General features: G+C 51.7%; 2 pseudogenes across 1 annotated transcript in view, besides 1 other annotated feature; one reads left to right on the top strand and one right to left on the bottom strand.

Moving 5' to 3' along the window:
• Positions 1-10,194, top strand: part of RABGEF1P1 (RABGEF1 pseudogene 1) — a 62,103-nt pseudogene extending 51,909 nt beyond the window's left edge. The window contains exons 10-11 of the transcript NR_111973.1: positions 8,628-8,708; positions 9,100-10,194. The product of NR_111973.1 is annotated as an RABGEF1 pseudogene 1, transcript variant 2 (transcript). The remainder of the gene's footprint in view (positions 1-8,627; positions 8,709-9,099) is intronic.
• The window catches only part of LOC100420547 (GTF2I repeat domain containing 1 pseudogene), a 34,118-nt pseudogene that overhangs the window by 5,173 nt on the left and 15,206 nt on the right, over positions 1-13,739 (bottom strand).
• Positions 9,229-10,093: an enhancer, noted in NCBI's record as "H3K4me1 hESC enhancer chr7:65995393-65996257 (GRCh37/hg19 assembly coordinates)". NCBI's record gives its function as "activates a minimal SCP1, AML or CMV promoter by ChIP-STARR-seq in primed H9 embryonic stem cells {active_cell/tissue: H9 hESC(primed)}" and the evidence as "EXISTENCE:reporter gene assay evidence [ECO:0000049][PMID:30033119]".

Genomic DNA, 13,739 nt, shown 5'->3' with positions numbered 1-13,739 from the left:
GAGGCCCAGGCCGGGTGGAGAGGCCGAGGTGGGTGGATCACTTGAGGTCAGGAGTTCCAGACCAGCCTGGCCAACATGGTGAAACCGTGTCTCTACTAAAAATACAAAAAATTAGCTGGGTGTGGTGGTGTGTGCCTGTAATCCGAGTTACTCAGGAGGCTGAGGCAGGAGAATCCCTTGAACTGGGAGGTGGAAGCTGCAGTGAGCTAAGATCGCGCCACCGCACTCCAGCCTGGGTGACAAAGCAAGACTCCGTCTCAAGAAAAAACAAAAAACATGGGACCCCAAACTCACTATGCCAAAGGGAAATGTTAAGCTTGGGAACTGAGTCATTCAATAGCCTTTTGTCCCTAAGCAGATGGCTGTAAGACAGAAGGTCACCTATCTCCCGGGTGGCTTCCCTCACCCTGGTCATGTAAATTCACAGCTTATCTTCACAGGCAGGGGACAAAGACAAGAATAGAAATTATCGCTCTGTCCACCCAAGACAAATACGTATTTAACTTCCTCTATTCTGTTTACATTATCTTATGTAAAATGCAGATTTACTGAGCACAGGATGAATACATCATTAACTATTCCTCTTCTTTTATTTTTTTATTTTTTGAGACAGTCTCACTGTTTTCCAGGCTGGAGTGCAGTGGCATGATTTTGGCTCACTGCAACCTCCGCCTACTGAGTTCGAGTGATTCTTGTGCCTCAGCCTCCAGAGTAGCCAGGATTACAGGCACCCGCCACCACGCGTGTTGAATTTTTTGTATTTTTAGTAGAGATGGGGTTTCATTATGCTGCCCATTATGCTCCTGACCTCAGGTGATCCACCTGCCTTGGCCTTCCAAAGTGCTGGGATTACAAGCGTGAGCCACTGTGCCCAGCCCCCCTCTTTCCCCTTTAAATACCAAAGTCCTCAAAATCCTCTCTGGAAAAAAGCACAGGCCACAGACCCTATTGCAGCTTGAGTCTCTTTTTCCTGGCTGTGTCCTCCACCATGGCAAAATAAATCTCTAAATCGATTGAGACCTGTTTCAGGCACTTTCTGGTTTACATGGCCCATGGGAGCCTATAGCAGGGAGGGCTTCCCAGAGGAGGTGACCACCACACGGGGCCCAAAGCTCCAAGGATGTGGGCTCATCTGCACTCTGGGGCTCATCACACAGACCTCCAAGGCAGTTGGGAGCGGCAAGTAAGACACAAGGAAACTTGTAGTATCCTGTAATTTCAGGTGCTTAACACTCATTAGCCAATCAGGAAACTTCCCCTGTTCCTTCCAAGTCTTGCCTGGTCTGGGGAGAAGTGCAACCCTAAACCAGGCTGCGGCTAACCAGCAGTGACACTACGGGGCAGTCAATAGCACACTATGGCAGCTCTACGTGAGACACAGGTCCCAGGCGGTGAACCAGAAGTGGCGGGAGTGTGCGTGTCAGGAAAGTGGGGCTGGGCTGGCTGAGGGGGCTGGCGGTTTGGGGAGGCGTCCTGACCACCTCCAGAGTGTGGGAGGGGTGGAGTGGGTCTAAATGCCTTTGTCAATAACACCAGGAACTGACCAGATGTAGTGGCTCATGCCTGTAATCCCAGCACTTTGGGAGGCTGAGGCCAGGAGTTTGAAACCAGTCTGGGGAACATGGCAAGACCCTGTCTCTACAAAAAAACAAACAAACAAAAATTAGCTGGGCATGGTAGTGTGTGCCTGTAATCCCAGCTACTTGGGAGGCAGAGGTGGGAGGATCGCTTGAGCCTGGAAAGTCAAGGTTGCAGTACGCCATGATTGCACCACTGCACTCCAGCCTGGGCAACTGAGCTAGACCCTGTCTCAAACTAACAACAAACAAATTAAAAAATAAAAAACAAGCTTGGCCATATTACGTGCAGACACTGTGCAAAGCCCACAGTATACCTTGTCCGTGGGATTCTCTAGCTCAGTCAACAAGCTCTGGAAGAACACTGATTTTTCTCTGTAGCTGCTCTTGCATTTTCCTACCTCTTTATTTAATTTAGAGGAAAGAGGATTACTTTTTTTTTTTTTTTTTTTTGTTAGAGACAGGGTCTTGCTGTCATTCAGGCTGGAGTGCAGTAGCTGGGGCTACAGGTGCAGGCCACCACACCCAGCTAATTTTTCCATTTTTTGTAGAGATGGGATCTTGCCATGTCGCCCAGGTTACATTTTTTTAAATCATGAGTTTCTGAAGGAAATGGGGTAGGGCAGGCTCTGGTAGGGGCTGGATTGTTCGAGCTCCTGCTTGAATTCCTGCATACACTGGGGAAAAGGGGGATCCCCAGGGCCAGGGATGGGGAAGGTCCCTGGCTCATTAGACAGGAAGGCAATCTTGATTCTAACCCCTAATGCTGTGTGGTGTATGGAAAGTCACTCAACCTCTCTGTTTCCTAATTTGAGACTCTGGGCCTGCTGGGTCTAATCTCACATAGCAAAAAGCACTACAGGCTGGGCATAGTGGCTCATGTCTGTCATGCCAGCACTTTGGAAGGCTGAAGTGGGACTATTGCTTGAGGCCAGGAGTTTGAGACCAGCCTGGGCAACAGGGAAAACCTGTTTCTACCAAAAAAAAAAAACCTGGGCATGGTGGTGCACACCTGTAGTCCCATCCCAGCTCTTCTGGGAACTGTGAGTGCACCAGAGGCAGCTCCTTGGGCACTGTCTGGGAGGGAACCTGAACCACAGGTGAAGACCGACTCCCCTGTCCCCTGCCGTGTCTGGGGACCTGACACTGGGTTTGTGTCTGTGCTCTAGCCGTGCCCTGTAGGGGAAAGGGCAACATCTCGATCTGAACAGATATTCCTGTTGGGGCTCTGAGGTGTGCAGGCTGGTGCCAGTCTCTCCCGCCAGGAATCGTGGCCACTGCTGCAACCGAGACAGCTCGCCCACACTGGTTAGCCCCGAGGGAGGGAGAATGCTAAGATCCTTGCTAACCTAGATGCCCCAGCCAGGCGTTTTTTGTTTGTTTGTTTGTTAATTGAGATGGTCTGGCTCTGTTGCCCAGGCTGGAGTGCAGTGGAGCAATCTCAGCTCACTGTAACCTCCGCCTCCTGGACTGAAGCCATCCTCCATCCTCAGTCTCCCGAGTAAGCTGGTGCTACAGGTGTGTGCCACTACCTGGCTTATTTTTGTATTATTTGTAGAGACAAGGTCTCACTATGTTGCCCAGGCTGATCTTCAACTCCTAAGCTCAAGCAATCCACCCATCTTGGCTTCCCAAAGTGCTGAGGTACAGGCATGAGCCACCATGCCCAGACCAGCTGAGCACCTCAGAGAGCTGCAGGTGGGTCATGAGTCCCCTTTCCTGACAGAGCCAGGCTCCTGCCACCCTCATCTTGTCACCATCAGGGAGCTCCCCAAGGACTGCTGTGGGCAGTGGTGGCCTCAGCCTCGGGTGGGGCAGGGCAGCTCCAGCATGCCTGGTCACCTCTGAGTCTAATCTGCTCACGGGAAAAACACGGATCAGAGAACCGCCTCAGAGAGCTGCTGAGAACACTGCAGGGGCAGGCGCAATACCAGGCCCTGCAAGGCCAGGGCCACAAGCCCAATGGTCTACCCAAGACTGATTGCCTGGGTTCAAATCCCAGCTCTGCTATCAGCTCGCGACCCTGGGCAAGTCCCTGAACCACTCTATGTCCTCATCTGTAGAGCAGCAATGGGCAGGCGTGCAGTGGCTCACGCCTGTCATCCCAGCACTTTGTGGGGCTGAAGTGGGCATATCACCAGAGGTCAGGAGTTTAAGACCAGACTGGCCAACATGGTGAAACCTCATCTCTACTAATAATACAAAAAAATTAGCTGGGCGTGGTGGCGGGTGCCTGTAATCCCAGCTACTTGGGAGGCTGAGGCAGGAGAATCGCTTGGACCTGGGAGGCGGAGGTTGCAGTGAGCCGAGATTGCACCACTGTGCTCCAGCCTGGGCAACAAGAGCAAAACTCCATCTCAAAAAAAAAAAAAGGGGGGTCAGGGGAGTGGGTTTAGTTTACTGTCCTGAATGCCAAGTCAGCAAACCTATTCTTGGGGGCACCTGCCTGAGCTTTCCTGAACCCAGGCTGGCTGTAAATGACACCCACGGCTGCAAACATTTCAGAGTGTTCTGTTTGGAAATGTCATAGTTAGGACTCAGTGTGTGTGGGGGTTCACCTCATGGTCTGCCCCTAGTGCTGTGCAGAAAGTCCTGCTGAAAGAACCCATCCCTGCAGCAGTGACCTCCTGCCCACTGCCCCTGGACAGTGACGCCTTTGGTGGACAGGCCTTCCCTTGACATTTCTCCTGCCCCTTCCTGCTCATGCTGTTCTTCGGTCTCCTCTCTCTTTAACACTGCCTGGGCAACTCTCAGCTTATCTTTTCCAACCTGCTGTCTGTTAGCCCAAGGAGTAACTGAATTTTGCGAAGGGGGAAAAAAAAGACAACCAAGCTCACTGAATCACAGCCATGCTATGTACACAATTTTAAACCAACTGGCTGGGGTGATGCCTGGGCTGGCTCTGTGGCTCTCTCCTGGGGCAAAGTGCAAGAGCCTTGGCCAGCCTTGGCCTCTCCCTGCCTAGTTAGAGGTCTTTAGCTCAGACTGACGATCTCGTATTGGTAATTACGACCATTCACAGCAGGGAGACGCAGCCAGCGAAGGGCAAGGGCGGTTTAGAGGGGAGAGACTGCGATCTGTAGCAGAAGCGTGGGATAATAGCCTTCCTCTCCCCTCCTGAACCATTTCACAGAGCCCCAACTCACTGCCAGGCCGGGGCAGAGTTCATGGCTGCAGCGATTGCACCACTGCTTTCCAGCCTGGGTGACAGAGTGAGACTCAGTCTTGAAAAAATAAAAAAGGTACATTCAGGTTCAGCATTTAACTGCTTGTAGGGCCTGTGCACAGGTTTAGCAGGAATTCCTTCAGCTCCATTTCATGGATGAGGTAACTGAGGCCTGGAGAGAGGAGGGCCAAGCTGCAGTGGGGCAGAGACCTGTGCCCGTGGCAGAGACCTGTGCCCAGGCCAATGATCATGAGTCTGTGTTGCTTCTGCCATCAGACCTGGCTGAGCCTGGACACTGCGTGCAGGAGGGGCCCTTAAGCCTTGACCCATTTTACAAAGGGAACTGTCTTTTTTTTCTTGAGATGGAGTCTCGCTCTGTCGCTTAGGGTGGAGTGCAGCGGCATGATCTGGGCTCACTGCAATCTCCACCTCCCAGGTTCCAGCAATTCTCTTGCCTTAGCCCCTCGAGTAGCTGAGACTACAGGCACAAGCCACCACACTCAGCTAATTTTTGTATTTTTAGTAGAGACGGGGTTTCACCATGTTGGCTGGGCTGGTCTCGAACTCCTGACCTCAGTTGATCTGCCCGCCTCGGCCTCCCAAAGTGCTAGGATTACAGGTGTGAGCCACTGTGCCCGGCCCAAAGGGAACTGTCTTAAAGTGGGATTGTTGAAGTACTCTCTGTGTCCCCAAGACCCCTCCTTCTGAACCCCTCTAGGGCCTAGACATGCCAGAGCCATCAAACCCCCAAATCCAAAACTCCAGTGTGGGTGGGAAGGAGGCTGCTGGAATGGGGGAATCTCCACTTCTCTTCCTCTGCATTTTATTTTATTTTTTTTCAGATGGACTCTCACTGTTGCCCAGGCTGGAGTGCAGTGGCACTATCTCAGTTCACTGCAACCTCTGCCTCCCGGGTTCAAGTGGTTCTCCTGCCTCAGCCTCCCGAGTAGCTGGGATTACAGGCGTGCACCACCATGCCTGGCTAATTTTTCTATTTTTAGTAGAGATGGGTTTTCACCATGTTGCCCAGGCTGGTCTTGAACTCCTGGGTTCAAGCAATCCACCCACCTCGGCCTCCCAAAGTGTTGGGATTATAGGCGTGAACCACTGCACCCGGCCTTCTTCCTCTGCTTTTCAAAAATTATGTTTTTAGAGATGTAGACTCATTTTGTCACCCATGGAGTGGTGCGATCCTAGCTCACTGAAGCCTTGACCTCATCCTCCTGCCTCAGTCTCCTGAGTATGTGGGCCTACCGGTGCACACCACCACGTCTGGCTAATTCTAAAATTTTTGTAGAGACAGGATCTTGCTACATTGCCCAGGTTGATCTCAAACTCCTGGCCTCAAGCAGTCCTTCCCCCTCGGCCTCCCAAAGTGTTGGGATTACAGGCGTAAGCCACCAGGCTGGGCCTTAAACTTTTTAATGGATCTATGCTTCTCTTCCGTTGCTTTTTTTTTTTTTTTTTTTTTTCTGAGACAGGATCTCGCTCTGTTGCCCAGGCTGGAGTGCAGTGGCATGATCTCAGCTCACTGCGACCTCTGCCTCCTGAGTAGCAAGCGTGCCACCATGCCTGGCTAATTTTTTTGTGTTTTTAGTAGAGATGGGGTCTTGCCATGTTGCCCAGGCCGGTCTCAAATTCCTGAGCTCAAGGGATCCTCCGGTTGCGGCCTCCCACAGTGCTGGGTTTACAGGCATGAGCCGTCACGCCCGGCTATAAGTGTTAATTGCATTCTTAGTAACAGCAAAACAATGGAAGCAGCCCAATCCCCAAGGAGAGGAGAGTGAGGAATTGCATCATGGTAAAATTCCACTCAATGGAAGATTATAGAGCCATGAGAACTAAGAGGCTACAGCTACACACTTTGACATTATGTCAACCAGAGCTAAGTGGTAAACAGCAAGACCCAGATTCTATTCAGTAACATGCCTTTGTTATAAAAGTAAAATTATAGGCTGGGCGCGGTGGCTCACGCCTGTAATCCCAGCATTTTGGGAGGCCGAGGCAGGTGGATCATGAGTTCAGGAGATGGAGACCATCCTGGCTAACACGGTGAAACCCTGTCTTTACTAAAAATACAAAAAATAAGCTGGGCATGGTGGCAGGCGCCTATAGTCCCAGCTGCTTGGGAGGCTGAGGCCAGAGAATCACTTGAACCCCGGAGGTGGAGGTTGCAGTGAGCTGAGATCACACAACTTCAGCCTGGGTGACAGAGCGAGACTCCATCTCAAAAAAAAAAAAAAAAGTAAAATTATAAGCAAAATGAAATAATTTTTGTTTAGGCAAACATACACAGTAAAATAATTAAAAAAAATTAACCTGTGAGCCTGGTGTGGTGGCTCACGCCTGTAATCTTACCACTTTGGGAGGCCAAGGCAGGAGGATCACTTGAGGACAGGAGTTGGAGACGAGCCTTGAGCAACATATAGAGACTCTGTCTACAAAAAATTTAAGAGTAGCTGGTGCAGTGGCACCTGGCTGTAGTCCCAGCTACTCGGGAGGCTGATGCGGGAGGATTGCTTGAACCTAGGAGTTGGAGGCTACAGTGAGCTATGTGATAGTGTCACTGCACTCCAGCCTATCTCTACAAAAATAAAAAATAAAATATGAGCTGGACATGGTAGCACGTGTGCTTGTAGTCCTAGCCACTCGAGGGGCTAAGGTGGTAGGATGGCTTGAGCCTAGAAGGTCCAGGCTGCAGTAAACTATGACTGTGCCACTGCATTCCAGCCTGGGCAAGAGGGAGACTGTCTTTAAAAAAAAATTTAAAAAATCAACCAGTGAAAAATGATTATATCATGAATGAGAACAGGCACAGAAGACGTTTTTGGAAATTTGAATAAAGACCATATATTAGATGACAGGGAATTACTCAGTTTTATAAGTGTGATGATACTATTGTGAGTATGTAAGATAATAGTGTTTTTCTTAGGAGATGTGCATTGAAATATTTAGGCATGAAGAGTCAAGATGTTTGCAACTTCAAATGGAGAAAAAGAAATTATTTGTGTGTGTGTATGTATGTGTGCGTGTGTGTGAGAGACAGAGATAGAGCAGGGAAAATGGCAATATGCTAAGAATTACTGAACCCAGCTGGGCGCGGTGGCTCACACCTGTAATCCCAGCACTTTGGGAGGCCGAGGCAGGTGGATCGCTTGAGGCCAGGAGTTCACGACCAGCCTGGCCAACATGGCGAAACCCCGTCTCTACTAAAAATACAAAAAATTAGGTGGGCGAGGTGGTGCGCGCCTGTAGTCACAGCTACTCAGGAGGCTGAGGCAGGATAATCGCTTGAACTCAGTAGGCAGAGCTTGCAGTGAGCTGAGATCGTGCCACTGCACTCCAGCCTAGGCAACAGAGCAAGACTCCGTCTCAGAAAAAAAAAAAAAAATGCCCGACCCCTCATGGGCACTTGGTGACTCAGAGAACCTGAGCTCTTCTGTGCCAGGCACTGCTCTTTGATCTTTGCATGGATTCATTTAATCCTTAAAACGGGGCGGTGCTCAGTGGCTCACGCCTGTAATCCCAGCACTTTGGAAGGCCAAGGTGGGCAGATCACTTGAGGTCAGGAGTTCGAGACCAGCCTGGGCAACATGGTGAAACCCCGTCTCTACTACAAATACAAAATTAGCCAGGCATGGTGCCACGTGTCTGTAATCCCAGCTACTCAGGAAGCTGAGGCAGGAGAATTGCTTGAACCTGGGAGGCAGAGGTTGCAGTGAGCCGAGATCGCGCCACTGCACTCCAGCCTGAAGGACACAGCAAGACTCTGTCTCAAAAAAAAAAAAAAAAAAAAAAAAAGACAAGGAAACATTTTCCCCTAGAGCCTCCAGAAGGACCCAGCCCTGCTGACACCCTTTTTTTTTTTTTTTTTTTTGACACAGAATAACCTCCATCTCCTGGGTCCCAGCGATTCTCCTGCCTCAGCCTCTTCCTATTTCACAAGTAGGGAAACTGAAGCCCAGGTAGGCAAGCCTGACTTGCTGGAGTCACACAGGAAGTTGGCAGCTCTGCTCCATCCCTGGGATCTGGAGCCCCTGCTCTGGGGAAGGAGAGGTGGGGCGCTGCCTTCCCAGAGTCCCCTCAAGCTGGCAGGGACGGCTGTACCCCCAGGGTCAGAGGAGAACTAAAAGGAGCGGAAGCTGGCCTGGGTCCAGGGAGAGACCTCGTGTTTGCCCAAAAGGGAGCTGGAGAGGGGCAGCTGGGCCCATATGCAGGGAGGAGCTGCAGGGAGCTGGTGGCGGGGCAGCAAAGAGAAGTGGATTTGGTGGGTAGAGGGGCCCCTCCTTGGTTCTAGTCCTCCCCGCAGCCCCTTGCAAACAGGCGGGGCTCTCCTGTCCTTCTTGTCTCCTGCAGCAAGCCCTACATGAAGAGGCCTCTTTGGTGAGTGGCAGCTCAACCTCTGCTAAATGCCTCCAGTGATGGGGAGTTCACTACCTTCCAAAGTTTTTAAAAGATGTTAACCACTGCTATTCAAGAACAATTCTAGAATTTTTTTTTTTTTGAAAGACAAGGTCTCATTCTGTCTCGCAGGCCAGAGTGCAGTGGTGTGATCATAGCTCACTGCAGCTTTGACTTCCTGGGCTCAAGCAATCCTCCCTCCTCAGCCTCCTGAGTACCTGAGACTACAGATGTGCACCACCACACTGGCTCATTGTTTTCATTTTTTGTAGAGACAGGATCTCACTATGTTGCCCAGGCTGGTCTCCTGGCTTCAAGCAATCCTCCTGCCTTGGCCTCCCAAAGTGCTGGGATTACAGGCGTGAGCCACTGCATCTGGCCTTTTTTTTTTGGAGATAGAGTCTCGCTCTGTCGCCCAGGGTGGAGTGCAGTGGCGTGATCTCGGCTCATTGCAACCTCCGCCTTCCGGGTTCACACCATTCTCCTGCCTCAGCCTCCCGAGTAGCTGGGATTACAGGCATCTGCCAACCATGCCTGGCTAATTTTTGTATTTTTTGGTGGAGACAGGGTCTCACCATGTTGGCTAGGCTGGTTTCGAACTCCCGACCTCAGGTGATCTACCCGCCTCAGCCTCCCAAAGTCCTGGGATTACAGGCTGAGCCACCGCGACCGGCCCTGCTGTTGCTTCTGAGGTTTGAAAACCGCTGCCTCAATGCTCCTGATTCAGCTCTTCTTACCCAAAGGTTCCCCCACCTCATCTACTCTGTTCCTGCACAGTCGCCCTTTTCTCTGATGCCCCGGGCAGGTTTCTCTCTGCCAGCTCCACGCTTCTGGAGTCCCCCATCCGTCTTGGGGCCCAGCTGCCCACTGTCTGGGTTCAGACCTTCTCAACACTCCCTGGCTTCTCTGCCCTAGTTTTGCCTTCTCCAATCCACTCTTGGTGGGTGGAAGTACGGTTACCATGGTAACTTGAAGACAACGCAAATCTGATTGTATCATTACAATGACTGGGAAAACCTCCAGTGCCACAAAATAAAGCTCAAGTCACTAGCTTTGCAGTCCAGGCCCTTTACCATTCCGGCAGCATTTCTGGGGGCTATTCTCCTTCCCCCCACTGCACAACCCCGCCTGGCCACCCCAGGCTCAGGCTGCAGAACAGCGTAGACCAGGGAGTGGCTTTGGGGTCATGCTAACTACCTGGTTTTTGTCTCTTTCAGGCTGTTTGCTCAGTTGCAAAATGGGAAGGACAACAGCACCCGCCTCACAGGCTAAGAGGCTGTGTGTGAAAAGCCCGCAGCACAGGATCTGGCACGCGTGGACGTGCGGGATGGGAGGAGGGGATTTCCCAGCTCCTCATCTCTGCAGGGACTGGCCTTGGCCTAGGGAACACTAGCTGTCCAGGGAGGGGGAGCTTTCCCTGAGCCCCCCGATGTGTGGCAGGCAGAGGAGAGCAAGCTACTTCTGGGAGGGGAGTTGTGGGGAAGGGCAAGTTAGTCTTTACTGAGGGTGGCAGTGAGCTGGCACTTTGGTCTCACCTCGGCTGCAGAAACCCACCCTGCTCCCGTCTTATTTCCTGGGGATTTCAGCTGTGTGCAGGCACAGATGCATCTCCCAAGTGCCTCATGCTTGCCTTGATCTCCTCTCCTTCCTCTGGCCAGTCCTGAACCTCTTGGTGATCCACGGCGGCACCTCTGTGTCCTACATCCTTCTCTGGCCATCTCCTTCCCTCCTTCCAGCCCTCCCTCTAGGACCCTGACCCCAACCATCCTTCATCCCCATGGGGACATTCAGTCCACTGACTCATCACCCTCCCCTGTCCCTCTGTGAGAGAAGGAGCAGGCAGAGAGGATCTTGCAAGAGCCTTCAGCAACTCTCTTCCACCCATCCTGTTGCTTGCTGCTTTTTTTTTTTTTTTTTCCAAAAAAATAGAGATGGGGTCTTGCTATGTGGCTGGTCTCAAACTCCTGGGCTCAAGTGATCCTCCTGCCTCGGCCTCCCAAAGTGCTGGATTACAGGCGTGAGCCACCACACCCGGCTCCGTTCCCTTTCTAAGCAGGGTGCTCCTTTTCTTGCCATTTCCCCCATCCTCCTTCCTCTCCCACAGCTCACTTCCCTCTCTACTGAATCTGCTGAAGATCATGCAGCTGCTGTTCCTGCCTCTAAAACCCTCTCTTGGCTGGGTGTGGTGGGTGACATATGTAATCCCAGCACTTTGGGAGGCTGAGGCAGGAGAATCACTTGAACCCGGGAGGCGGAGGTTGCAGTGAGCCGAGATTGCGCCACTGCACTCCAGCCTAGGTGATAGAGCAAGACTCTGTCCCCTCCCTCCACCAAAAAAATAAAGCCCTCTCTGCATCCATTCCACTCTCCACTCTTGCTCATTCTCTCCTGCCCTCTAAAAGGTGATCTGTCTTTGGCAGATTCAATCACTTGCCTTTCTCATTCTCTCCTGAGCCCACTATTCCACTCTGGTCCCCACCACTTCCCCCAAAACTGCTTTGAACCATCGCACTGCAACCTGTTGCTTAGCCCCTCCATCTAGTCTCAGGCGTTAGGACTGACTGCCCAGCAGAGGCTGGTGCAACCAATCACCTCCTTTAGTAAGTTTCTCCCTGGGCTTCACCTCTTCACCTGTGGGCTTTCCACCTGTCTCTCTCTTTTTTTTTTAAGACAGTCTCCTCTGTTGCCAGGCTGGAATGCCGTGGCGCAATCTCAGCTCACTGCAACCTCTACCTCCTGGGTTCAAGCGATTCTCCTGCCTCAGGCTCCCAAGTAGCTGGGATTACAGGTGCCCGCCACCACACCGGGCTAATTTTTGTATTTTTAGTAGAGTCGGGGTTTCACCATGTTGCCCAGGCTGGTCTCGAACTCCTGACCTTACGTGATCCACCCGCCTCAGCCTCCCAAAGTGCTGGGATTACAGGCGTGAGCCACCGCACCTGGCAGTCTCCCTAATTTAATTCAGTGCCACTGCGGGCAGGTGGGGTGTGGCCTGGTTGGGCAGTATAGAGCTACCAGCTACCAATGGTGTTCAGCCCTCAGGGTCGAGCGTGGGTTGTCTCAGCCCCTTGCAGGCAGGGCTGGAGTTCCTTCTGGTGCGAGTTGGGGGACCCAGCTCCCCCATCCCTCTGCAACCCCAGGCCCCCCACCAGGTCCCCTCTGGTTCAGCCTGGTGCCTTCCAGCACCCCTGGCCCCCAGAAATCCCTGGTCCACAGCTCCCTTGACCTGAGGCCTGAAATTGACCCACTGCCCCCTGAGGCTTGGTCCAAGTCCAAGTATGCCTTCCTCTCCAGCCAGATGCCTGCCTGCCACTCAGCATGTCAGAGCAGGCAGGGCCTCTAGATTTTAATGGGGAAACTGAGGCACTGAGGGCAGATGTGATGTCCCCAGTTGGGAAAACATTAAAGACATTCTGGGCTTCTCTCTCTTTTTTTTAGAGACAAGATCTCACTCTGTCATGCACGCTGGAATCATGGCTCATTGCAGCCTCCAACTCCTAGGCTCAAGGGATCCTTCCACCTCAGCCTCCCGAGTAGCTGGGAGTACAGGTGTTCGTCCCCACCATGTCTGGCTAATTTAAAAAAATGTCTTTGCAGGATGGGATCTTGCTATGTTTCCCAGGCTGGTCTCAAACTCCTGGGCTCAAGTGATTTTCCCATCTTGGCCTCCCAAAATACTGGGATTATACGTATAAGCCACCACGTCTGGCCTGAGTCATCTCTTTTGACCCAGAACAAAACCAGTCCAGGAGTGGCTGTACTCCCCAGGAGTGTACACTGGGGAGGCCCACAGCTCCGGGGTGCAGTGGGGCTCTTGCAATTTAATGACTGATTCATCTTCAAAAAAGCACAATCTCAGCCAGGCGTGGTGGCTCATGCCTGTAATCCCAGCACTTTGGGAGGTTGAGGCGGGCTGATCACCTGAGGTCAGAAGTTTGAGATCAGCCTGGCCAACAGGGTGAAACCCTGTCTCTACTAAAAATACAAAAATTAGCCAGGTGTCGTGGTGCACACCCGTAATTCCAGCTACTTGGGAGGCTGAGGCAGACGAATCACTTGAACTCGGGAGGTGGAGATCGCAGTGAGCCAAGATCGTGCCATTGCACTCCAGCCTGGGCAACAAGAAGCGAAACTCCATCTTAAAACAAACAAAACAAAACAAAAACAAAAAAGCATAATCTCTTTCAGAATTTTTACCTTCTTGGTGTGGTTCTGTTAGGAAAGGCTTCCATGGGAACCTTCAATAAGTGACCTAAAAAAAAATCTCAGAGCAATTCCTTTTTTTTTTTTTTTTTTTTTCAGACAGCATCATGCTCTGTCACCCAGGCTGGAGTGCAGTTGCACAATCTCAGCTCACTGCAACCTCCACCTCCTGGGCTCAAGCCTTCCTCCTGCTTTGGCCTCCTGAGTAGCTGAGACTACAGGTGCATGCCACCGTGCCCGGCTAATTTTTAAATTTTTTGTAGAAACGGGGTCTTGTTATGTTGCCCAGGCTGACCTCAAACTCTTGGCCTCAAGCGATCCTCCTACCTTGTCCTCCCAAAGTGCTGGGATTACAGGGGTGAACCACTGTTCCTGGTTTAGAGCCATTCTTT

Source organism: Homo sapiens, chromosome 7, assembly GCF_000001405.40.
Source record: "Homo sapiens chromosome 7, GRCh38.p14 Primary Assembly".
NCBI classification, from domain to species: Eukaryota; Metazoa; Chordata; class Mammalia; order Primates; family Hominidae; genus Homo; species Homo sapiens.
The sequence above is the reverse complement of the archived record's forward strand: the minus strand, read 5'-3'. Positions and strand labels throughout refer to the sequence as shown.